This window comes from Homo sapiens, chromosome 7 (genome assembly GCF_000001405.40).
Source record: "Homo sapiens chromosome 7, GRCh38.p14 Primary Assembly".
NCBI lineage: Eukaryota > Metazoa > Chordata > Mammalia > Primates > Hominidae > Homo > Homo sapiens.
In genome coordinates this window covers 23,336,269-23,359,373 of record NC_000007.14, presented here as the reverse complement: position 1 = coordinate 23,359,373, position 23,105 = coordinate 23,336,269, and the positions used below count along the sequence as shown (strand labels likewise).

The following is a 23,105-nucleotide window of genomic DNA, read 5'->3' as shown; positions in this document are numbered from 1 at the left end:
AGAACATAAGTTGGAGACATAAGCTATGTAGATTTGAAGAGGCATAAGATGAACTTTGGTAGGGATAAAGTAATTGACATTTTAGCCTTCCTCCTTTAAAAACAAAAAAACAAAGCATTAAGACTGCAAGCACAGGAAAGGTAGACTGGCTAGTCAAGGCAGAATTATTGCTGAAAAGAATCCTAACCACGACAGCAAACTGAATGTAGACACACTGGTGTTCTCAAAATTCTTTAGCGTAGTTGTTAAGAGATTGGTAGGCTTCTGTTGATCCCAAGGAGGAAGGAAAAGGCTGTTAAGAATTGTATAATTTAGTAATTAGGTAACTTAAATAAATTAGGCATTTTGATTAGGGAAGTAGTCTTCATGTCCTTTGTTCTAATATTCAGTCAGTTAACATTTATTAAATACTAAATACTGACCAAAAGTTGCCAATAAGAATATTTGGAGAGGGACTACCTAATTTTAGTTCCTCCCTGTCAAGCGGCCTTATAAGAGTATTGTTCTCACTCCCTCTGCAAGAATTCAAAGATTGAGAAAATTAGAAAGCAATGAGGTATTTTTAAAAGTTAATCTAAGGAGTGGAAAACTCAGTTTTGTGTTACAGTGGTAAAAAAATTATCAGTTTTCTAATAAGCTTTTAAAAGGGATATGGAATATGTTTTCATTCTGTGAGGAGAATTAATTTTATTTGAGAGGCATTGGGTGTAGCAGAGAAAGCGTAAACACCAAAGTCAGGTAGCCCTGACTTAGTAACCTTGACTTCTGAGCTTTGGTTTTCTCAGCTACAAAGTGAAGATTAAAGAGAAACAAATATTTGTGCATATATGCATGTATTTATAGTTTAACCCACTGGTTCTGGGCTGCTTGGAGCAGTTTGAAGTGGCTTGAGCCTGGACTTCCAATGAACCCCATAGGCCTGCTCCATGGGTTCCAAACATGACAGCCTGCTGCCTAAACCAACCTGGTGTCATTTCTCCATGTTTCTCGGTAGCCACCCAAAGCTCAATCTTTAGGTGAAAGGGCTATGCTGGTAATTCTCAGTTTTCTCTTTGTAACATCTGTTGTTTGGAAGGCTATGTGACCTTGATGTACTTGTGAAAGTATGAGTGAGCTTGGAGGTTAAGAGTTCAATTCCAGAGCCCAGTTGCATGGAACAGACTGTGTGCCACCACTTTTCTAGCTGACTTTGGTCAAGTTAATCTGTTATGGTTCAGCCCCATTTCTAAAATGGGAATAACTGTAGTCTTTAGCTAATGAGGCTACTGAGAAAAACTAAGATAATGCCTCCAAAACATGTTTCATAATACCTGTAAGGTAGAGCTCAAAAGTTAGCAGCTATTATGTATTTTTCCAACATGTTTGATTGCTGCTTCTGCTCCCCTGTTATTGTTTGGTATACTTCATTTCCAGTGATGGCTGGTCACTGATGCTGAGGAGCCAGGCAGCTAGTTTTAACGTGGTTGTAGCTGCCTCTGTTAGTTAAAGCTCTATGAATGTCACTTAAGAAGAGTCCTCAAATACGGCTGTATCTTTAAGACAGAACTTAACGTGGAAATTCCTGCCACCTTGTGGCTAAAATAAATCAAAGGTTAATAGTACACATATTTTAGAAAATATTAATACATGTGTTCATTTTAGGCTTAAGTCTTGAATTATTAAAATAAAAATTTGACAAGTTTAAATTTCATTTCATTAGTTTCATTAAAAATGGAAGTATGTGTTTAGTGAATGCACCTTTTCTTGTTCCTCAGAGCGAGAGAGGCTCACCTATTTCCTTCCCTCTTCCAGAGATGTTGAGATAAGCCAGTCAAGGACAGACATTACTCATGAGAGGATTTGTCATGTGTGACAAAGAAATAACCCCCTAGAAAATGTGTAGACATTGAGTTCTTATACTTTCTTTTGTTTGGGGTTATCCTGATGTTTATTTTTGTTAGGGAATAGGAATGTTTATTCATACTTTGAAACTTCAATCATTCTGAGGCAGGAGAATTGCTTGAACCTGGGAGGTGGAGGTTGCAGTGAGCCAAGATTGCGCCATTGCACTCCAGCCTGGGCAACAAGAGCAAAACTCCGTCTCAAAAAAAAAAAAAAGAAAGAAACTATCATTGCAGTTCCTTTGTATCATTGTGAAGATCTGTATAAGGTAAATATGGTTATGTTTAGAAGTGTTTGAAGCAACTTGGCCAGTGGCTAAAGGTAAGAAAATTCCCATTTAAACTTTAACAATTATGTAAATAAAAGATTTATTTTGGAAAAAGAAATAAAGCAGTGAGACAAAGGGATTTTTTGCCATTCAGGGATAACCACTGTTAAATTTGCCATAGAGTTTTGTAGACTTTGTCCCATGCATTATAACTTTCAGAATTACAAAGATCATTCTGCAGAGTTTTGTGGGTTTTTCATTCAGTGTATTTATACTGATTCTAATCTCTGCATAGTGTTGGATCCTCACCACAGTTTCCTATCCCGTCTTCTGTTGTGTGTCATCTAGGGTATTTGCCCATACCGTTTTGTTTTGTTTTGTTTTTAGAACCAATTTAGTCATGAAGCCTTACATTTGGGCTTCATCCATATTTATTGCATTACGGTACATCCTTAAAATCATATTACCCAGGCTTTCAATAATGATTGCCAAATTGTCAACCTCTTATTCTTGATACAAGGAGATAATTGAATTTATGACTTTTCAATAATGGGTTAAACCTCATTTTGTGAGGACCCTGTATTATATACAGGGTGATATCTGGGAATAAAAAAGAAGAGATTTTTAGACATGGAATTTTATTTATTTTAGTATTATTTTTTGAGACAGGTTCTCATTCTGTTGCCCAGGCAGACTTGGGAGTGCAGTGGCACAATCATGGCTTAATGTAGCCTCAACCTCCTGGGCTCAACCAGTCCTCCCACCTCAGCCTCCCAAGTAGCTGGGACTACAGGCATGTGCCACTACACCCAGCTAATTTTTTTTTTTTTGTAGAGGCAGGGTCTCACTGTGTTGCCGAGGCTGATCTCAAACTGCGGGGCTCAAGTGATCCTCCCTCCTTGGCCTCCCAGAGTGCTAGAATTAGAGGTGTGAGCTCCTGCACCCAGCCAGGCATGAAATTTTAGAGCTGAAAGGGACCATGAATCTAATCTTTTAGTTTTATAGGGAGATGGCTAATGCCAAAAAGGAAAATGACCTTTGGAGGATAACGTGGTTATTTAATGTTCAAGCTGGACTAGAATTCTGGTCTCTAGTCCGTATTCTTTTTCCACTATTCAGATCTGTATGTGTGGACTCCTGGGTACGTTTAACTTGTCTGGGTCTCATTTCTTCTCCTTTTTTCTTTCTCTTTCCCCCTCTTCCTCAAGTTGAACTATTTATTGTCTCTATTGAGGCCCATTCAGCTCTAAATTGTGATCTACCCCAATGAACAATTTTTTTTTTTTTTTTTGGAGACAAAGTCTCATTTCATCACCTAGGCTGGGGTGCAGTGGGGCAATCTTGGCTCACTGCAACCTCCGCCTCCCAGATTCAAGCAATTCTCATGCCTCAGCCTTCCAAGTAGCTGGAATTATAGGCTCACGCCACCATGCCTGGCTAATTTTTGTACTTTTAGTAGAGACAGAGTTTTGTCATATTGTCCAAGCTGGTCTTGAACTCCTGACCTCAAGTGATCCACCCATCTTGGTCTCCCGAAGTGTTGGGATTACAGGCATGAGCCACTGCACCTGGCCCCAGTAAACTTCTTATCAATACATTTAAATTCTACCAACTGGCAAAATTACTCATCATCTTCTCAGCGACCCTTAAAATAGCACCAAGAGCAAAGAGTTAAGTAATGATGACAGGATCCTGGTCTGGCGCTGTGGCTCACACTTGTAATCCAAGCACTTTGGGAGGCTGAGGCAGGTAGATCACTTGAGGTCAGGAGTTCGAGACCAGCCTGACCAACATGGTGAAACCCCGTCTCTAGTTAAAAGAAAAAAAAATACAAAATTAGCTGGGTGTGGTGGTACACGCCTGTAATCCCAGCTACTTGGGAGGAGGAAGGAGAATTGCTCAAACCAAGGAGGTGGAGGTTGCAGCAGTGAGCCGAGATCGCGTCATTGCGCTCCAGCCTGGGCAAAAAAGTGAGACTCTGTCTCAAAAAAAAAAAAAATAAAAATAAAAAGACAAAACCAGGCTCCTGAGTAATATACATGTTGGATAAACATCTTTAAGTTCTGTTTAACTGAATACATATGTGTCAAATAATTATGACAGTCGTTCATCTCATGTCTTGCATCTACGGTGGGTTTGGTGAAAATACTAAAATTTTTTTTCCTCGTGAACTCAGCAGATCACCATATGACATAGATGAATAACAAACTTTGTGCCTAGAAAGATTCTAGTAGTTGACTTAAATTCAGTAATTTAGGAGCTGCAATCATGAGAAAGCCGCCATTCTGCATGTTAGGTTCCTCCTGTACCTTTTCAGCTGTGTCTGACTGTGGATGGAGCACTGTGGTTTGAGGGGTTAGGAACTCTGCTTAGATGGCAATTAGACAGTCAGGTACACACAGTAGTGGCTGTCTGCATTCTGCCTGGAACAGCCTGAGTTTGGAGCCATTGGGGCCCAGAAGGTACACTGGGGACTAGAGCCCCGGGCCACCTGACCTCTTCAGTGAGAGAATCTTTTCTTTTCCCCACAAAGAAAAATCTTTTTAAAGCAGCACAATAAAAGTTAGAAGTTAGTTTTTGCCAAGTTATAAAGTTGTTTCTTGTGATACATGTGACTATTTAGATGGTTCTAGAATATAGAAGCATCTGGTAACTGACGTGTGTACCTTTTACCCCAGGGAGAATGATATCTGTATGTGTCTATCTCACTCAAGAAGAGAGTTATCTACCATTTTTGTAACATTAATGACTTAATTTACTAGTCAAAATATACTTACTCTCTTCTGAAGCTGGCAATACGCCATTTATAATGAAAAAGCCTAGATTACCTTTTATGCCTAGATGTAATTGATGCCTTCAGTGGGTTCAAGTTTCCTGATTTTTTGAAAGAACCTTCAGTGATCTGTTTATTCCCGACTTTAAAAACATTTAAGGTCAGGTGTGGTGGCTCACTCCTGTAATCCCAGCACTTTGGGAGGCCGAGGTGGGTGGATCACCTGAGGTCAAGAGTTCAAGACCAGCCTGGCCAACATAGCAAAACCCATCTCTACTAAAAATACAAAAATTAGCTGAGGGTGGTGGCGTGCGCCTGTAATCCCAGCTACTCAGGAGGCCGAGGCAGGAGAATTGCTTGAAACCAGGAGGTGGAGGTTGCAGTGAGCCAAGATCGCACCACTGTGCTCCAGCCTGGGCAACAAGAACGAAAGTCCATTTCAAAAAAAATAAATAAATAAAGCTGTTTTGAAAGAATCTGTAGTTGGTTGACTCTTCTGCATCTCCAACTTTTTATAACAAATATACACCATAAATATTAAAATATATCAGCTGTCGTCTTCCTTTAGAAATAACCAAAATATTTTAGGTCCCTTAATCCACATTCCCTTAAGAAAAAAAGGGGACAGGAGGAAAGTACAGCGTTAACTTAACGTTCTGTCATCAAGGCATTGGCAAAATAAGTGTGGCATGTGTCAGCTATCATCCTCTGAAGCTTATGAAAAGAATGCCCTCTGACATAGAAATCACATGGAAATATCGCAAGACATTGTATTTAAAAACAAGCCACAGAGCAGTGTACATCACAACCCCAATTATGCTTTTAATGAAGGAACCGAATATGAATACATGTGTTTGTAAACATATAGAAAGGACTGGTCCATTTGTAGAAGTACTGCAGTGAGCAGCAGTTCTGGGAAGGGCCTTGGAGGGTTGGTGACGGTGCCAGAGCAACCTCTTGCTACTTTCTGCATGACTGATCTTTTACAATAAGAGTTCATTCATGTGCCAGAGAAGGTAGGACAGTGATAGAAGACTGAAGTGAGAAACCGAGAATCATTCTGGGCCGGAGAATGTCAGCGAGCCCTCTGTCTGCTTGCCCAGGTCTGCCTTCCAGGTCCTAGCCCTCAGTGACCTTTTTGGTACTAGAACTGTCACCCACTCCACCCCCTTTTTTCTATTTAAGAATTGAGAGTAGATTTGCAAATAAAGCAGTGTATAAGCCGGAAATGACCACACCAAGCAACTAGAAAGAGACCATTTTATGCCTGTTTTTCTTTCCCACCTGGGGTGAACTCAGGGCCATTGGAACAGAATCTGAGCAAAGAACCTGAGTGACACTGGGAAGTGTGGGGACTTCTTTCTTTTTGTTTTTCATTTTGTTGTGCACTGGGGAGTTAAAAAGGGATGTATTGTTAGGTGTATGTTTATGAAATCTGGGCTATTTCGTCTCTACTAGTTTATTATTTTCCCTTCTGAAAACATAACACACACACACAAAATGAATACAAAACAAAGCAAAACAAACAAACAAAAAACCCCAGAAAACAGAACACAACAATTTGGATGAATATTACAATAAATTAAAAGTTTCCAGATATGAGAAAATACATATCATGTATACTCATATATATTTACATAAAATTTTTAAATAGGCAGAATTAATCTATGGTATTAGAAGTCTGCAAGGGGTAGGGGGGCAGTGACTACCGGAAGCAGGTACTGTTGGGGCTTCCGGGGCCCTGGTGTGTTCTAGTTCTGGATCTGGATGTGTGTGTTCACCTTGTGAAAATTCACTGAAATTTATGCTCAAGATTTGGGCACTTTTCCTTGCATGTTAAAATAAAGATCAAGAATGAAAAAGAGGCTGGGTACAGTAGCTCATGCCTGTAATCCCAGCACTTTGGGAGGCCAATGCAGCAGATCACTTGAGGTCAGGAGTTGAAAACCAGCCTGGCCAACATGGTGAAACCCCATCTCTACTAAAAATACAAAAATTAGCCAAGCATGATGGTGCATGCCTATAATCCCAGTTACTTGGGAGGCTGAGGCACAAGAATCTCTTGAACCCCGGAGGCAGAGGTTGCAGTGAGCCAAGATGGCTCTATTGCGCTCCAGCCTGGGTAACAGAGCAAGACTCTGTCTCCAAAAAAAAAAAAAAAAAAAAAAAAAAATGAAAAAGAGAGAAACTCTCCCCCAAATAGTGTGGTAGAATGGGCACACTCTTTTTTTTGGTTTATCACCACCCCTGCCTCTTTGCTCCAAATCAGATCGTAAACCACAAAGTCAGGGACTGGCTCATAATAGGTACTGAGTGTGATTGGTAGAATTTAATACTCAGAATAGTCTCTTGTAAATGGTTTAGAGATATTTGTCCACTGGTTCTTAAAATGGTTTTAAATACTTCATATTTTAGAGGCTGAAGTGAAGGAAGTATATATTTCTGATGTCTCTTCCACTGTGGTTTGGAAACATTAGCCAAGGCAAGAAGCCCACTTGCTTCTCTCTTGCTGCTTAGCTATTCCTAAACCGTTAGTAACCTTATGGGTTAAACTTAACCAAGAGTTTGACAAAATGTTTTTTGTTTTTCTATTTTTCATTAGGAGATGGCACATAGGTTCCCTTTGGAAACTTGTGGTCTTTTTCCCCACTGTGCCTGTCTCAAAGGAAAATGTGTGTGGGTGGTGGTGGTGCGGGGTGGGAGAGGGGAGGATTATGTGTGTTGCGGGTTTGCTGCTTGTGCTGGGGCTTCACTCAGAAGTTTAGAGCTAGTAATGCTGAGTAGAAGAGATGGGTGTTGCTTTGCTAAAAGATGTGTCATATAGCCTGATTCCTTTTCCCACCCCTGCCCCTTTTCAACTTTCAGAGCACTAGACAAACTGAATGGATTTCAGTTAGAGAATTTCACCTTGAAAGTAGCCTATATCCCTGATGAAATGGCCGCCCAGCAAAACCCCTTGCAGCAGCCCCGAGGTCGCCGGGGGCTTGGGCAGAGGGGCTCCTCAAGGCAGGGGTCTCCAGGATCCGTATCCAAGCAGAAACCATGTGATTTGCCTCTGCGCCTGCTGGTTCCCACCCAATTTGTTGGAGCCATCATAGGAAAAGAAGGTGCCACCATTCGGAACATCACCAAACAGACCCAGTCTAAGTGAGTATGCTGAGTGTGTGGTGGGTGTTCATGAGAATTCCCCTTGGAATCTTAGTAACAGTGTGTCGTTCTGGTACTTGGTGCCCTTCTGAACACAGCCATGAGGACTCCTTGTACAGTACTTGGGAATGTGTAAAAATCTTGCAGTATCTTGGTGTTCATTTCATATAAATCTGGAGCTAATCCTCATTCTCAAAGGGAACGTCAGATTTTCACACATGAATGGAAAACAAATGATACCTAATCCTCTTCTGGTTGGGGAAGCTCTGGAAGACAGAAAGGCAGCTTCCAGGTTGTCCTCTGTCCCACCCCTTACCCCCCACCTGCCCTCATTGTTTTTGGAAGTAATTTTCTGGGTCCAATCCATTTTATTTGTGGCCTCAATACAGAGGTGGTTTTTCAGTCTTGCCTTACTCGAATAAAGAATCGCTCATCTTATTTGTCCGAATTTTTCCTCTGATTAAGCCATGTAATTAGAATGGCTTTTTCTTCTGGATATTTTTTGATGGTTTTAATTGGTGGGATTTAAGGGATTGGAATATTCCCATTCAAATGTTGGAGCTAATTATCAGGAGCAGAAAGCGGGAACTATTTGTTTTATTCACTACTGTAGCCCCAGGGCCAAGGCCAGGGCCCTGCTACATAGAAGGATCTTTTATTTGTCAAATGACTAAAATGACTGTATGTGAATTATGTTTGAAGCCTTTCATGTGTATCTAAGATACTTCTCAGTTCTCATGCATTATATGTTGTTTTGCTTTAGAAACCATACTGTTGTACAGTATGTGGATATTTTTTGACCCAAAGAAGCTTGGTGACAAACTCTTCCCCCCATACCTAGCTCCGTAACGTGCTACGAGGCACATCCTGTTACTACTGTATTTCCTGAAGAACCTGTGAGTGTGCTGGGAAGAAGAGGTTGTATCCAAAAATACCATTGTGCAAGCCTTGAGCCAGCTACAGAAGTGGCAAGATTATTTTTCCTTTTAAATTTAGAAAGGAGAATTCTTTTTTTTCAGTGTGATCCAACGAAATAAGCTTAATCTTTCTCTAAAAGTTAGAACTGCACTGCTGTGTATACTTTATGTGTTTGTTCCAGCAGGCCTAAGAGGACATGCATGTTCATCATAGGCACCATGCCTGCATTGGACTAGCTGACCCATTTCTCATGTAGAACCAAAAAGAACTGTACTGAGTGGTGGTCCATACCCACCTGCTCCCTGCAGTGGCATCTGATCCTGCCTTCCCCTGCTTTGAAGCAGGAGATGTTGGGTGCTGGTTACCTGAATGCAAAATTAATCGCCCTGACCTCATCATGTAGGAGTGGGAAAGACAACTGGACCATAACCTAGTCAGTCGGCCTGGCTTTAATCTTAAAATTTAAGGGCTTCTTGCTTCCCTTGATCCACCGTTACCTGCAGAAATTCATTATATGGCTTCCCTTCCTTCTCATGTAGCAGATTAGAATTGTTCCTTTTCGAGCTACTCATTTCCCTGTCAGATGAAAGAGCTGTGACTTAAATTGAACTGTTTGTTTTACTTAAGGCAGGAAGATGGGGATAGGGGAAGGGAAGCAATTTTTGTTATATCCGATGATTCATTTGCAGAGCTCTGCCAGTGGATTTAATTAACTCTTGACATTGAAATTAGTCATTATCAGAACCTCGTTTCTGGAATGGTCTCAGAGGGCCATTCTAATCTCCAAAGCCACATTCCTTTCTCTCAGGGGATCGGAGCTTAGTAATCCTTAGCACAGTGAAAGGGTGAAAATAAACTGCAAAGAGGGATGCTAATGTGTTGCTGGAAGACAGGCATCCCTGAAAGTGACTGGGGATTGAAACAGCAGCCGGGAAGATGACTCCTAAGATTGGGACTGTTATCTAAGACACTATTTTTTTATTAGTTATTTTTAGGTAGCCCTTAATTTGTTTCATGCCCTTATTTTTAGTTTTATCTTTTACTCTTGAGGTAAATCTTCAGATTTCAACCAAACATTTAGGAAAATGAAAGCCAAATCTTGATTTTATTGGCATGATCAAGTGGTCACTCTCATGGCCATGAGTTATTTAGCCCTTTAAGTGTTTGAATGGCCAAAGGAACTCAACAAATACTTAATTTTCCCAAAAACACATATTTTTGAGTAGCTAATTTTCTTTCTTGTACTTATTAAAAAATGGCAGGCTTATTTTATATTTAATTCAAAACATATAAATATGTAAATTAAAAAGTTACCATTCGTCTCACCTGGGTAGCTGTTGGTAAGTTGGGGATGTATCTCTATAGGATTTGTTGCCTGTATCTACTAACATGTGTGACTTTAAAAAAGAAATCATGTCATGATGTGAATTGCATTATTTCACTTAAGGACTTTTTACTGTGTTGGTACTTGTAATTTTACCACATTTTCAAAAACATCTGTATGATATGAATATACTGTTATTTAACCATCTCTTCCCGCAATTAGATAATTCTAATTTTCTATCTGTTAGAAACGGAACTTTCCCATGCCAGTGGTTCTCAACTACAAATGATCATCTCTCTGCCCCAACCCCCGTAGACATTTGGCAATGTCTGGAGACATTTTTAGCTGTTAGAGTTGAGAGAGAGGCATGCTACTAGCATCTAGTAGGTACAGGCCAGGGAAGTTAGTAAATTTCCTACAATGCACAAGACACCCCATCCACAACAAAGAATCTGGCCCAAAAAGTCAGTAGTGCCAAGGGTAAGAAACATCACTCTTGACCCATGTATGAGACTATATCTGTAGATGTTACCAGGAGTAGATGTTACAAGAAATACAGTTCTTGAGTCACAAGGTGCTCAGCATTTTGCTGACCAGTTTGCTCCTACCAAAAGTGTTGAGTGTGCCTTGTTACCCATCATCTTGCCCATATTTAATTTTTTCTATCTCAATTTTTGCAAGTCTAGAAGAAAATGACATTCTTTTAGCTGGCAGACATATAATTACTAGTGAAATTAAACATCATTTTGAGTTTATTGGCCACTTGCTTTTCTTGAAGTAGAATTGCCATCTGTCCAGGTTCCATTCCTATCACTGTTCGTTGCAGACTTTCCTCTATCAAGGAGGCAAAATGTGGGAAGAACCTTGCAAAGGGGAAGCAGATTGGTGAAATCTGCTCATCCAATGAATGAAGAATGATATACTGTGCAGAATAAGCAGTTCAACTTGGCTTATGGGATTCCAACTCCTCTCTTGGCATGCCCTCCAGTTCCTATTTGTTTTAGAGCAGATTGAATCCAGGCTCTTTGTCATGAGACATTTGTTCTGTGGCATCTGAAAGGAAGCTGTAAGCACAAACAGCTTGGGTAGAATGAAAAGATGTCCCCGCTTGGTTGGATTGAGGAAAGAGAAAGGGGAATGTTCCTAGAATTAAAATTTGCCTCTTAAGGCATTAATGTTGACAGCTTATTGAAAGTTTATGCTCTTGAGGGAAGTGAGTCATCTGCTTTGCCCTGAAGCCCTATGACTTTGCATTTGGTAATTACAGACTCCACTGTGAATACACGCTTACTGCTCTCGTTTTCCTCTCTGCTTGCGCCCACTATCAGAATCGATGTCCACCGTAAAGAAAATGCGGGGGCTGCTGAGAAGTCGATTACTATCCTCTCTACTCCTGAAGGCACCTCTGCGGCTTGTAAGTCTATTCTGGAGATTATGCATAAGGAAGCTCAAGATATAAAATTGTGAGTAAAGAAGATTGTCCTGTGAAAGAGGTTGATATTTGTGCTCTTGTATTTTTGACATCTCTGACACAATTCTTGGGAATTGCCAACAAACAGAGGGAAATGATATCCTGATGAGCTACAGTGGTTGGCACTGTTGATCTGGTTGTGAAGTGTATGTCTTTTAATATTTAAATATTTTCATTCACATTTGAACATAGGCGAGTGGTGATAACGGGGAAGAGAAATGCAGCTATAGAAGAAGGCAACTTGGGGAACCTAGGACCAGGAGGTATCCTGGATTAACCCAAAACAGGAGCCCCAAATCTTGACTCATCCTTTACTCGGAGCTCATTGGAGCTCTGTTCTTGTCCACTGCCTGGCCCCACCTTGGAGCAGCAGGGAGTGTGGAGGTGGGGAAGTGCCTAAGTCTCTTCTAAGGCAAACTGGAGATTTATCTGGGTAATGCAGGCGGGAACTCTATTTCTTCCACAGGAACTTTGAGTGAAGGTTGGGTTCTGTGCCACGTTTAGCGTACAGAACAGCGCTGCACTGAAAGTAGAATCGAGAGTAAGGCACTGGAGTTAGTGTGGGGACCTCATTACCAACCTTAATTTGTAGAGAACTTTAAATATGTTTTAGTAATATTATATGTGGGTGCCATATCATAAGAATGTAATTATTAAAGTAAAAATTTTAAAGAAGAATTATTTTAGTATAGAGAAAAATAGGCCTGGTGTGGCGACTCATGCCTGTAATCCCAGCACTTTGGGAGGCCGAGGCGGGTGGATCATGAGGTCAAGAGATCAAGACCATCCTGGCCAACATGGTGAAACCCCGTCTCTACTGAAAATACAAGAATTAGATGAGCGTGGTGGCATGTGCCTGTAGTCCCAGCCACTTGGGAGGCTGAGGCAGGAGAATGGCTTGAACCCGGGAGGCGGAGGTTGCAGTGAGCCGAGATCGCGCCACTGCACGCCTGCCTGGCGCCAGAGGGAGACTCTGTCTCAAAAAAAAAAAAAGAAAGAAAAAGGAAAAGCCCACCATCTATTAACCACAATGACATTTTAAACAGTTTTATATATATATGACTGGGAAATTCAGAAAGCTACAAAATGAAAAGTGAAAGCTCCCCTTCCTGTTCTTATGCCCTTCCCCCAAAGTGTAACCACTGTTGTTTCTTCTGTTTCCTTCTATAAATTATGCACATATCTCCAGGTGTATATTTGTACTGGATGGTACTGTTTTTTATTTGTACGTTGTGTTCTGGTAGTAGGGGTTTAGGAATATGGTTTTGAGTAAGAGACTCCATCACTGAAGATATTTCCTGAAGTGAATAAAATAAGAACTATTTTAGAAGTTAACTTCTGTATTTTTTCTCCCCTTCTATTCATGCATTGCTAGAATGCTGGCCAATTGTCAGCAAGTTTTAAGCTGTACCTAACACAGTGCTTCCCAGATGGTAGGTAGGAAGTAAATGTTTAATGAGTGAATATTGTCTTTTTACCCACGAATAGGTTTACTTATTCTAATTTTATGGCCACTTTTCTATTTACAGCACAGAAGAGATCCCCTTGAAGATTTTAGCTCATAATAACTTTGTTGGACGTCTTATTGGTAAAGAAGGAAGAAATCTTAAAAAAATTGAGCAAGACACAGACACTAAAATCACGATATCTCCGTGAGTGCTCCTTTGCTTTTGAATAAGAAAACTTTCCAACACTGTAAGCTGCATGTTGTGTATTGGGCTTAGCTTCCCACTTTACAGCTGCTTCAGCTAGCCTGTGCTGCCGTACTTACACATGGTTTCTCAAATACAGCTTGCTGCCTGTTAGGTTTCTGACCCGTATTGAAAGCATTATCTGCTTCTGGCAGGAGGAACCAAATGCTTTACATTCATGTTTTCTAAAGCAGTCTTAACTATGTTTTATGACATTTATTCCCAAAGTTGGAATATATAACCCAGTTTATTATCCATTGTCGTGTAACGCATTATCCCAACATTTGACAGCTTAACACAATGTGAACATTAATTGCTCAGCTAGTTTTTGTGGGTTAGGAATGCAGGAGCAGCTTAGCTGGGTGGTTCTGGCTTGGGGTCTCACAATGCTGCTGACAAGTTGATGCTGGCTGTTGGCAGAAGGCCTCAGTTCCTCCCACATGGGCTTCTCCACAGAGCTGCTTGAGTGTTCTCAAGACATGGCAGCTGTCAAGATGGAAACTGCAATGTCTTTTATGACATAGCCTCAGAAGTTATACTCTATCATTTTTCTAATGTTGTTTACACAAGTCAGCCCTATTTGGTATGTATGTGTGGGACTACAGATAACTGGGTGACAGGAATCACCTTGGAGGCAGGCTACCACACTTAGAATCTGTGGATGCTCTGAAATTACGTGGAAAGGTTTTTCTGAGGGTGGCCATTCTTAGTTTCACTCAGAGTACTCAAAAAGGTGGGAAAAGATTGATGAACTGAGGAAGAGTGGTAGGGGAAAGACTGCACGGTGTTTGTGTACAAGGAGTTTTCAAAGGAGGTAGTAAGGAAGCAGGAAACTTCTGTTTGGTTGTAAAGAAAGGGGGAAAAAAACCCCACAAAGTGGTAAATTCAATAAGTAATACTACTTTGTCTTAAATTTACCCCCAGAAAGGGGAGAGTTTTAAAAGAAAAAAATCTCAAAAGTTATTCTAGAAGCAGCTATTTTTAAAACTGTAATACAAAATGCTTGGCAGGGCCAGGTTGAGACTGAATTAGAATTATAGACTTCTTTTTAAAGTAGTCTAAGAGAAATAGTCTTCATTATACAAATGTTTACATTTTTAACAAGTTTGAGGAAAATGTTAAGGAATAACTTCCCATTCATCTGGCTCAAGGTTAGCCTGTGACATTATACTAGTAGTGAAAATGAGAACTTCAGGAAGATGAAGGAGATTTGTACCAATAATCCATATCCTCTCAATTTATGTACTTAGTTCTGTTTTCCATGGCACATGTCTCCCATTGCTTTTCCTCTCAAGGCTGTTGACCAGCATAGGCTTAGGTGTTTTCAGGTATGATATTCAGTGGCTTTTGAAGGTTCAGCAGGACCTAGGTCCCGCAGGGAGTTTCTGAATATTTCTGCCACTATCTAACGTTTTTGTTATCTAAATGGCATCGGTGAACCATTTTAAATTTTAGTCAAGATGGATTGATATTCCTCCAGCCTACTTCAATCTAAATTCTAAAGAAACTGGTAAAAACTAAGTTTAGACACAGGAATTCTGGCTTGTGTTTTTGGAATATTTCCATGCTTTCTCCTTGCTTGGTGACCCAGAAAATGCAATTGCACGAGAATGCCAATTATGCCTAGAATTGGTTAATACAGACTAGGAACATACTTATGAAAGGTTATGTACTTAGGGTATTTGGTTTCCTCAAAAACTATACATCTTTCCAGTCATTTTTTAATTCACTGTTCAATTGTGAAAATGGTTCAACTTTAAGCGGTTGAGAAGTAAGCTTTATTTAAAATATGGACTTGATTGAACTATATGTATCCAGTAATCGTTAGTTGAGAAAATGGGAGGGCAAATATTTTCTTCTCTCTTGCAGCTTTACAGTTTCGGATTTACGTCTTTTGGGGCTTACTCATTTCCCATCATGTTTTACCACCCACTTTTACATATTACCAGGCTCCACAGTTTGTTTTTAATTGCCGTCTGTGGCTGAATTATTAGCTGTCTTCCTCCAATTTTCATTCTTTTTCTTTCCCTTCTTTTTCATTCTGCAGATTGCAGGAATTGACGCTGTATAATCCAGAACGCACTATTACAGTTAAAGGCAATGTTGAGACATGTGCCAAAGCTGAGGAGGAGATCATGAAGAAAATCAGGGAGTCTTATGAAAATGATATTGCTTCTATGAATGTTAGTTTTGTTATGAAGGGCATGTCTTTATTTTAACAAATAGTTAAAACAATGTTTTTAACTGCATTAATATTGAATTCTTTTGTGGCATTATCACTAGAAGTAGTTCTAGTTGATTTTTAGCACCTCAGCAAGTACCCTGGGATAGTAGGGAAGATACTGGCTTTGACATTAAGCTTTGCTGTCTCTGTGACTTTAGCAAATTATTCAGTCTTTGAGCCTTAGCTTCCTTCTGTCTGAAGTAAGGCTAGTGTCTACCTACAAAGGTTAATATAGTACCTCTCTTACAATGTTAATTTGAGAGAGTTTAATATAGAAGAAATGTTACATGAACTGGATTTGAATCACAGCTGAACCATTTATGAGCTGCAGCTCTCTTCTCTTATATGATTTACTCAGTCTCTCTGAGGCTCAGTTTACTCATCTGTAAAATGGGACTACTGCCTACCTTGCATTCTTATTAGGATTACAATAGATATAATGCATATAAAAGTTAATGTTAAGATTACAGGTTTAAAACTTGGTTAGCCATATAAACCTTGGAGATACAAGAATTTCAATTGATAAAACAATCTGTGTAGTGCATCTGAGGCTATTAAAGCAAATTGCTGACATTCCTTAATCAGTGAAATGGTGCTGAAAATGGAATACTTCAAAAGCCTGTCTTAAATTTTAAAGTAAATGACTTTAAAAAATAATTTTTTTTCAATTGGGCCAGTCATCTGAAACACAAAACCTGAGACGAGGGAAATGTGCAAATACTGCGTTTGTGAGAAGAGCCTAGAATGCTAGCCATTTTACACCCCACGTGACTTCTTGCCAACCTGCTTCAATTCTCACTGCTTGGCTCCAAATGTTCTGGAATCAACTGGGATTAAATCTAACCCCCTTAGGCCTTTTAAAAAGATTTTCAAGTACACTCAAATCTCCCTTCCACCGTCTACATTACGTCCTCAACCCTTATAAAATTAAACAAATTAAAATACCCTTTCTGGCTCCTATTTCCATTCCAGTGATATGTTTACTTGCAGTAGTTACATGGGGATGGGTCCTGATTTCCAGAGGGCTCAACTTTGAGGCCTCTAGACCCATGGTTGCTAAGTTTTACCCAGCAAGTAAAGATCTCTTAATAGCTGGTTTGCTTTTCAATGAACCAATCTTACTTGATTACCTCTTCAACTCTGATACATTGCTTTTTGTCTATATTTAGTTTGCCCACAGCATGCAGAATACGGTTTTGTCTAAGTCCTGTGGGCTAGTCATAAGGGAAAGGAAAGCTTCCCTTGAGATATCTTAATGCAGCTGTGGACCAAGGAGGGGGCAAACCAGCACACAGATTTTAAAATACCAAGGGATATAAACAGATGTAAACGATGTACTCAAGTAGAGTCCCATGGAACATCTGCTTTGAGTTATACAATCATTTCTTTATTAGACAAGAGATCAGTTTGAATACTGTCACTTAAAAATGCTCACTTTCCCTTGATTCTTTTAATTGTCAAATTAAGGGGCCTTTTTACTGTTGCAGCTTCAAGCACATTTAATTCCTGGATTAAATCTGAACGCCTTGGGTCTGTTCCCACCCACTTCAGGGATGCCACCTCCCACCTCAGGGCCCCCTTCAGCCATGACTCCTCCCTACCCGCAGTTTGAGGTAAGATAACTGGCCTTGGCTTTCTTTGTGATTGGGCAAAATCTTAATGTAAACCTAGTCCCCGCGTGATCATCTGTTTAGATGCCAACATATGCTCTCCAGTTCTTGCTAATGGAGCCTTCTTATTTGGCCCTTTGTGGAGTAGACATGGGATTATTTTGCAGTTTTTGGATAGCGGGGTTGTCAACATGTGTTTTCAAATATCACAACAAAAGTTTGGGACTTTGAGGTGGCAGGGGAAGAAACTTAGTAATTGTTTTTCTTATTTAAAAAAATTTTTTTTCTTTTTTCTTTTTTCTTTTTTTTTTATTCTAAGTTCTCGGATACATGTGCAGAATGTGCAGGTTTGTTACATAGGTATACATGTGCCATGGTGGTTATTTAAAAGTTTTTGGAGACACAGTCCCACTCTTTCGCCCAGGCTGGAATGCAGTGGCACAATCTTGACTCACTGCAACCTTCACCTCCCGGGTTCAAATGATTCTCATGCCTCAGCCTCCTGAGTAACTGGGATTACAGGTGTGTGCCACACCACACCCGGCTACTTTTTTTGTATTTTTAGTAGAGACAGGGTTTCGCCATGTTGTTCAGGCTGATCTCAAACTCCTGGCCTCCAGTGGTCTGCCTGCCTCGGCCTCTCAAAGTGCTGGGGTTATAGGCGTGAGCTATTACCTGGCCAGTAATTATTAAATACTAAAGGAAAAGATTTTTTAAAGGCTTCTTTCATCTTTGTCACCTGAAGTCAATGGCTTTGAAAGGTCAGGAGTGACTCTGTGTGTTTTCCATGTTGAGTGTACTTTTTTAAACCAAAGAGATAAGATAGTTTTGTGCACAATTATATTGTGTGTGTGCGTGCATACATTAAGCAGATGTTTATTTTGTAAAGAGGTAGGTTATATAAGAAATAAATCTTAGGCCAAGTGCCATGGCTCACACCTGTAATCCCAGCACTTTGGGAGGCCGAGGCGGGAGGATCACCCGAGGTCAGGAGTTCAAGACCAGCCTGGCCAACATGGTGAAACCCCATCTCTACTAAAAATACAAAAAATTAGCCGGAGTGGTGGCAGGTGCCTGTAATCCCAGCTACTTGGGAGGCTGAGGCAGGAGAATCGCTTGAACCCAGGAGGCAGAGGTGGTAGTGAGCTGAGATTGCGCCATTGCACTCCAGCCTGGGCGACAGAGCGAAACTCTGTCTGGGAAAAAAAAAAAAAAAAGAAAAAGAAAAAGAAAGAAATATTTTATACTTGCTTTTTAAGAATAGCAGTTTCCTTGAGGTCAGAAATAGGAGACTAGTGATGGTATGAAAATAATCGCAGCACAGCAGACACCTGATGGAATAAATTATTTTGAAAGTAGTTAATAATTCAGTTGCATTATCGATAATCGGAGGTATTCATGTGACATTCTAGGATCTTCCTTCATGAATTTGTTTTGACATCTCTCCCTTTTTGTTTGGCTCACTTACTTAATATTAATATTTTGAGTGATACCTCTTACACCAATTTGGGGAAATGTCCAGGTGGAATAGGTTGGTGATTCCACTGTATTACTACCTAGAATAAATATGTAGAGTAAAATGACATTGAAATTGTACAGAAAATACAGATGGCTCAGATTGTCCCCCTTTTATCCTTTTAAAAATGAAAATTTCCTTTTCCTGTCCTTGAACCCACCAAACTGATTGGGGTTCTAAGCAGTTGCCCTCCTGCCGTGTGTGTTTCTGCCTTTACTGTCAGCAGCATCTTGTCTCCCCTGCAATTCACCTGCCGTTTCTAGTATGTTTTGGCCTGGAAATCATGTAACAGAATGATAGCCATCAAAATTTCAGCTACAAGTGAAGTGTGCATAGATTCATTACGTGCCCCCTGAAGTGGCTGGCATGTTTTTACTTTGATGCTAAAGGGGACTGGTAGAAAGAACCCTGGAGTCAGAGCCCAGGTCTGGCCCACTGCCTCTGACACAATTTTGTGTCACTGAAGGTCAGACTCCTTGGCTCTGGATTTGTTTTCTCACCTGTATAATAAAAAAAACCTGAACTATAAGAATTGTGTCTAAAGCCTTTAAGGTCACACATTTCTAGTTTCTACAGAATTAAATAATATGAAAGGTTTAAGGAGGAATAGGGGAGAATGAGCCTAAAATAGGAATCTGAGAGTACATCTAGGGACTTAACTTTGAACATGTCCACTAGTTTATGTGTGTGTCATAGGATTGGTTTAGGGCAGGTGTGTCCCCAACACTTCTGTATAAAATGACACTTACTAAAAGGTACAATGAGCTGATCATGTGACGTAACTCTGTGCTAGGAAAGCTCGCATCTAACCCACATTTCTGCTGGTTCCCCTAAATTAGCTTTCTCTCTGGGTGGGTTGCTTAACCTCTCTGTTTCATTCCCAGTTTGTAAACTGAGGTGTCCCTTTAACTCTTTTTTTCTCTCTATACTGGTGACATGTTCCAATCAACAAAGCTTTTCACATTACAAGTGATCACAGAATAGAACATTCTTGGACATCAGTCTTTTACACTTACATGGATGCTTCAGTAGCCAAAATTCCTAGAGTGAACTTGTAGGTAACTATTTTTAAAATATGTAGATAAGACTGCATATTCTCTGGATTTAGTCATTTTTCTGACTTATGGTATAGTTCTGTGTATCAGGTTCCTATGTTAGAAAAATTAAGAATGCTTTGAGAGAAGTGAGATCATATTAAGAACTTATATTTCTCCAGCACTTCTACAGTCTTAAATGTCTGAATGACTTAAATCAGTGGCAGTTTTGTTTTAAGAATGGGAGGAGGAGGTCGGTGATGTTTACTTAAATAAAAGTTGAGCCAAGAGTAAATGTAAGGAAGATGTCACTGGAATAGGTCATCTTGCTTCTCCTGTCATTTAAGCTAAATCAAATAGGTGCAATTAGAAGGAGCAAATGAGAACAGAAGTTGCAGAAGCTGCCAACAGTAAAAACACTGCCACAGGGCAAGAGCTGCAAAGATGTAACAGTCTGGTGGTTTCAAGGACAGGCAAAGGAAATTCGCATTCTTAAAGGAATACAACAACATGGACAGTCTTAACAATCTGTGTTCTTTGCAGAATTCCAGTGGATATTTTATTCTACATGTGTTCCAGGCAGTGATACAATGGAGTTCTCAACTTTATAACTGAATATTTTCCTAAATCATTTATCCAAATCATATATTTCCCTAAATCATATATTACTGTTTTTATTTCTTATTTTACATTGATTGACAATCTGTAAAGTTCAGCATTAATTATTCCCTGCCTTAAGGGGAAAAAAATGTTTTTCCCATACTTAAATTATAATTATCCCAGACAATTTGAATGAAAATCCCTGGGGGTAGGGGTGAGGCAAAGGTATCAATTTTGAAAGCTCCCGAGATGACTCCAATGTGTAGCCAAGGCTAACAACAACTGTTTGATTAGTTAAGAACTTGTGTCCCACTTAAATAAATAAAAATCTCAGTGGGAGCAGGTGGAAGCTCAAAAATGTGTAGTTTCATAAAGGTCATCAGGAGTTTTATGCTACCCGTTTATTGTCAGGAACTGTTCTTTTCAAGAGATGGGGACTCACTATGTTGCCCAGGCTGGAATTGAACTCCTGGGTGCAAGTGATCCTCCCACCTCTGACTCCCAAGTAGCTGGGACTACAGGCACACACCATCACGCCCAGCTAAGAACTTCTGTTCTACAAAGAATGTTTACTAGTCTTTGGAGGGGCGCTTCAATGTTGAAAAGAACAGTTTCTATCAGTACCAATTGCAAGGGAGAAAAAGTTCAGGATAAGCACAAATACATACTAGTTGTGTATATCCCTTTTTCTACCTTGTTCTATGCTTTGAAGAGTGAAAAAAAACTCACCTCTTTCTCTCTGGACCACCTGCCATCCCAACTCGTAGGAAATATCATGCCAAAAACCTCTGTGGGATGTTGCCGTTATGTCTGTTTTTACCCTTCTAACTCTATTTTGGCATACTACATGTATCAGGATTAGGTTTGGGTATGTATTGTTACTAGAAAAAAAAATGGCTTAAATTCGTTTTCCTTTTTCATGAGAAGAGTTCAAGGGTAGACAATCCAAGGCTGGAAGTGGTTCCACCATATCCTTCAGGACTGGTGCTTCTATCTGCCTTGTGTGCCATTCCCTGGCCCAGGATAACTGCTCAAGCTCCAACTATTGGGTCTGTTTCCAGCCAACAAGAAGGATAAAGGATTGCTGGATGTGGTGACAGACACCTGTAGTCCCAGCTACTGGGGAGGCGGAGGTGGGAGGATTGCTTGAGCCCAGGAATTTCAGTCCAGCCTGGGCAATGTGGTGAGACCTCATTTCAAACTGAAAAAAGGATAAAGGATCAAAATTGGCAGCATCCTTATTTAAGGACACTGCCTGAGGATAGCTTTTCATACTTCTGTTTGCCTCATGTTGGCCAGAACATACCACTGGCTGTGTCTAGCTGCAAGAGAAGCTGGGAGACAATCCCTGTGTGAGGGCAGCAATGTGCCCATTAAACACAGGATCTGTTACTAAAGGAAAATACATGTTGGGGACAGCTATTTGTCTGCTTCACTGGATTTGGCACTATTGCCTGTTAAAGGAGCCTCCCAGAGCCTGGAAGAGAGGAAGCAAGCTTTTAAGTTCTCTCAAAAAGCAGAATCTAAATTCTGGAGGAGAAAATTCCATATTCCAGATTCCCATTCCTGTGGTTATTTTCATCTAAATAAAGAGAAAACACCATTATTCAGAAAATCATATTGTCCCTGGATACAATTAGAGTAAATTCTACTTTCAAACAGCTGCTAGGCAATTTTCTGGCTTAATGTTCAGGGGAACAATTCTTTAACAAGTGTTGTTTGAGTATATAACTTCAAGTTGCAGGGGGTGGGGGGTGGTTGCAAGTACTCAGTTGGAATAGCTTTGCCTTCACTATTTTTAGACTTTGTTCTTTTTCTAAACCGAAATCACTAATACTTAACTATTTTGTGTACCTAGTGGTCACCACTTTTTGAAATACAAATAAACTATTGTTTTTAAAGGCAGTAAATTTCCCAAAGCTTTACCAGTTTCTTTGCTTATCATTGCTTCTTTTTTTTTTTTCTTTTGGAGACAGAGTCTTGCCCTGTCACCCAGGGTGGAGTGTGGTGGCGCAATCTCGGTTCACTGCAAACTCCGCATCCTGGGTTCAAGTGATTCTCATACCTCAGCCTCCCGAGTAGCTGGGATTACAAGTGCGCAGCACCATGCCTGGTTAATTTTTGTATTTTTATTAGAGACAGGGTTTTACCATGTTTGCCAGGCTGGTCTCGAATTCCTGACCTCAAGTGATCCACCCATCTCGGCCTCCCAAAGTGCTGGGATTACAGACGTGAGCCACTGCAGCCGGCCTATTCTTTAGCAAGAAAAATGAAGCCAAAAAGAAGCAATGATAACAACCAGGCGTTGCGATGAGCCGAGGAGGTGGAGGTTGCAATGAGCCGAGATCGTGCCACTGCACTCCCGCCTGGGTGACTAAGCAAGACTCTGTCTCAAAAAAAAAGAAGAGAAAAAAAGAACATACTGTTTTATGTTTGTGAGGGTCTATGATGTTATTTAAAAAAAAAAAAAAATGGTTTAGAAAGTTAAAGATGGACGGGCATTTTGCTCTCAGCACTTTTAAACTGTTCCTGAACTGCATTCTGGTATCTATACTTGCTGATGAGAAGCTTGCTGTTCCTTTGAAGCTATCACAGATTACGTACTAAGATCGTGTTTATCCTTGATGTCTTGTAGGTTAACAGTGAAC

The 23,105-nt window shown here is 40.2% G+C and overlaps 1 protein-coding gene across 7 annotated transcripts in view, besides 2 other annotated features; it reads left to right on the top strand.

Moving 5' to 3' along the window:
- The window catches only part of IGF2BP3 (insulin like growth factor 2 mRNA binding protein 3), a 160,283-nt gene that overhangs the window by 111,118 nt on the left and 26,060 nt on the right, over positions 1-23,105 (top strand). For all 7 annotated transcript variants that reach the window (NM_006547.3, XM_011515089.3, XM_047419782.1 and 4 more), the window contains 5 exons: positions 7,788-8,069; positions 11,640-11,774; positions 13,312-13,434; positions 15,521-15,656; positions 17,185-17,310. In NM_006547.3, coding sequence (NP_006538.2) covers positions 7,788-8,069; positions 11,640-11,774; positions 13,312-13,434; positions 15,521-15,656; positions 17,185-17,310 — 802 coding nt within the window. The remainder of the gene's footprint in view (positions 1-7,787; positions 8,070-11,639; positions 11,775-13,311; positions 13,435-15,520; positions 15,657-17,184; positions 17,311-23,105) is intronic.
- Positions 650-944: a silencer, noted in NCBI's record as "tiled region #10260; HepG2 Repressive DNase matched - State 5:Enh". NCBI's record gives its function as "represses a minimal TATA promoter and a strong SV40 promoter by Sharpr-MPRA in HepG2 cells {active_cell/tissue: HepG2}" and the evidence as "EXISTENCE:reporter gene assay evidence [ECO:0000049][PMID:27701403]".
- Positions 4,494-4,653: a silencer, noted in NCBI's record as "fragment chr7:23394340-23394499 (GRCh37/hg19 assembly coordinates)". NCBI's record gives its function as "represses an EF-1alpha promoter that drives an FKBP-Casp9 reporter gene in an ReSE screen in K562 erythroleukemia cells {active_cell/tissue: K562}" and the evidence as "EXISTENCE:reporter gene assay evidence [ECO:0000049][PMID:32094911]".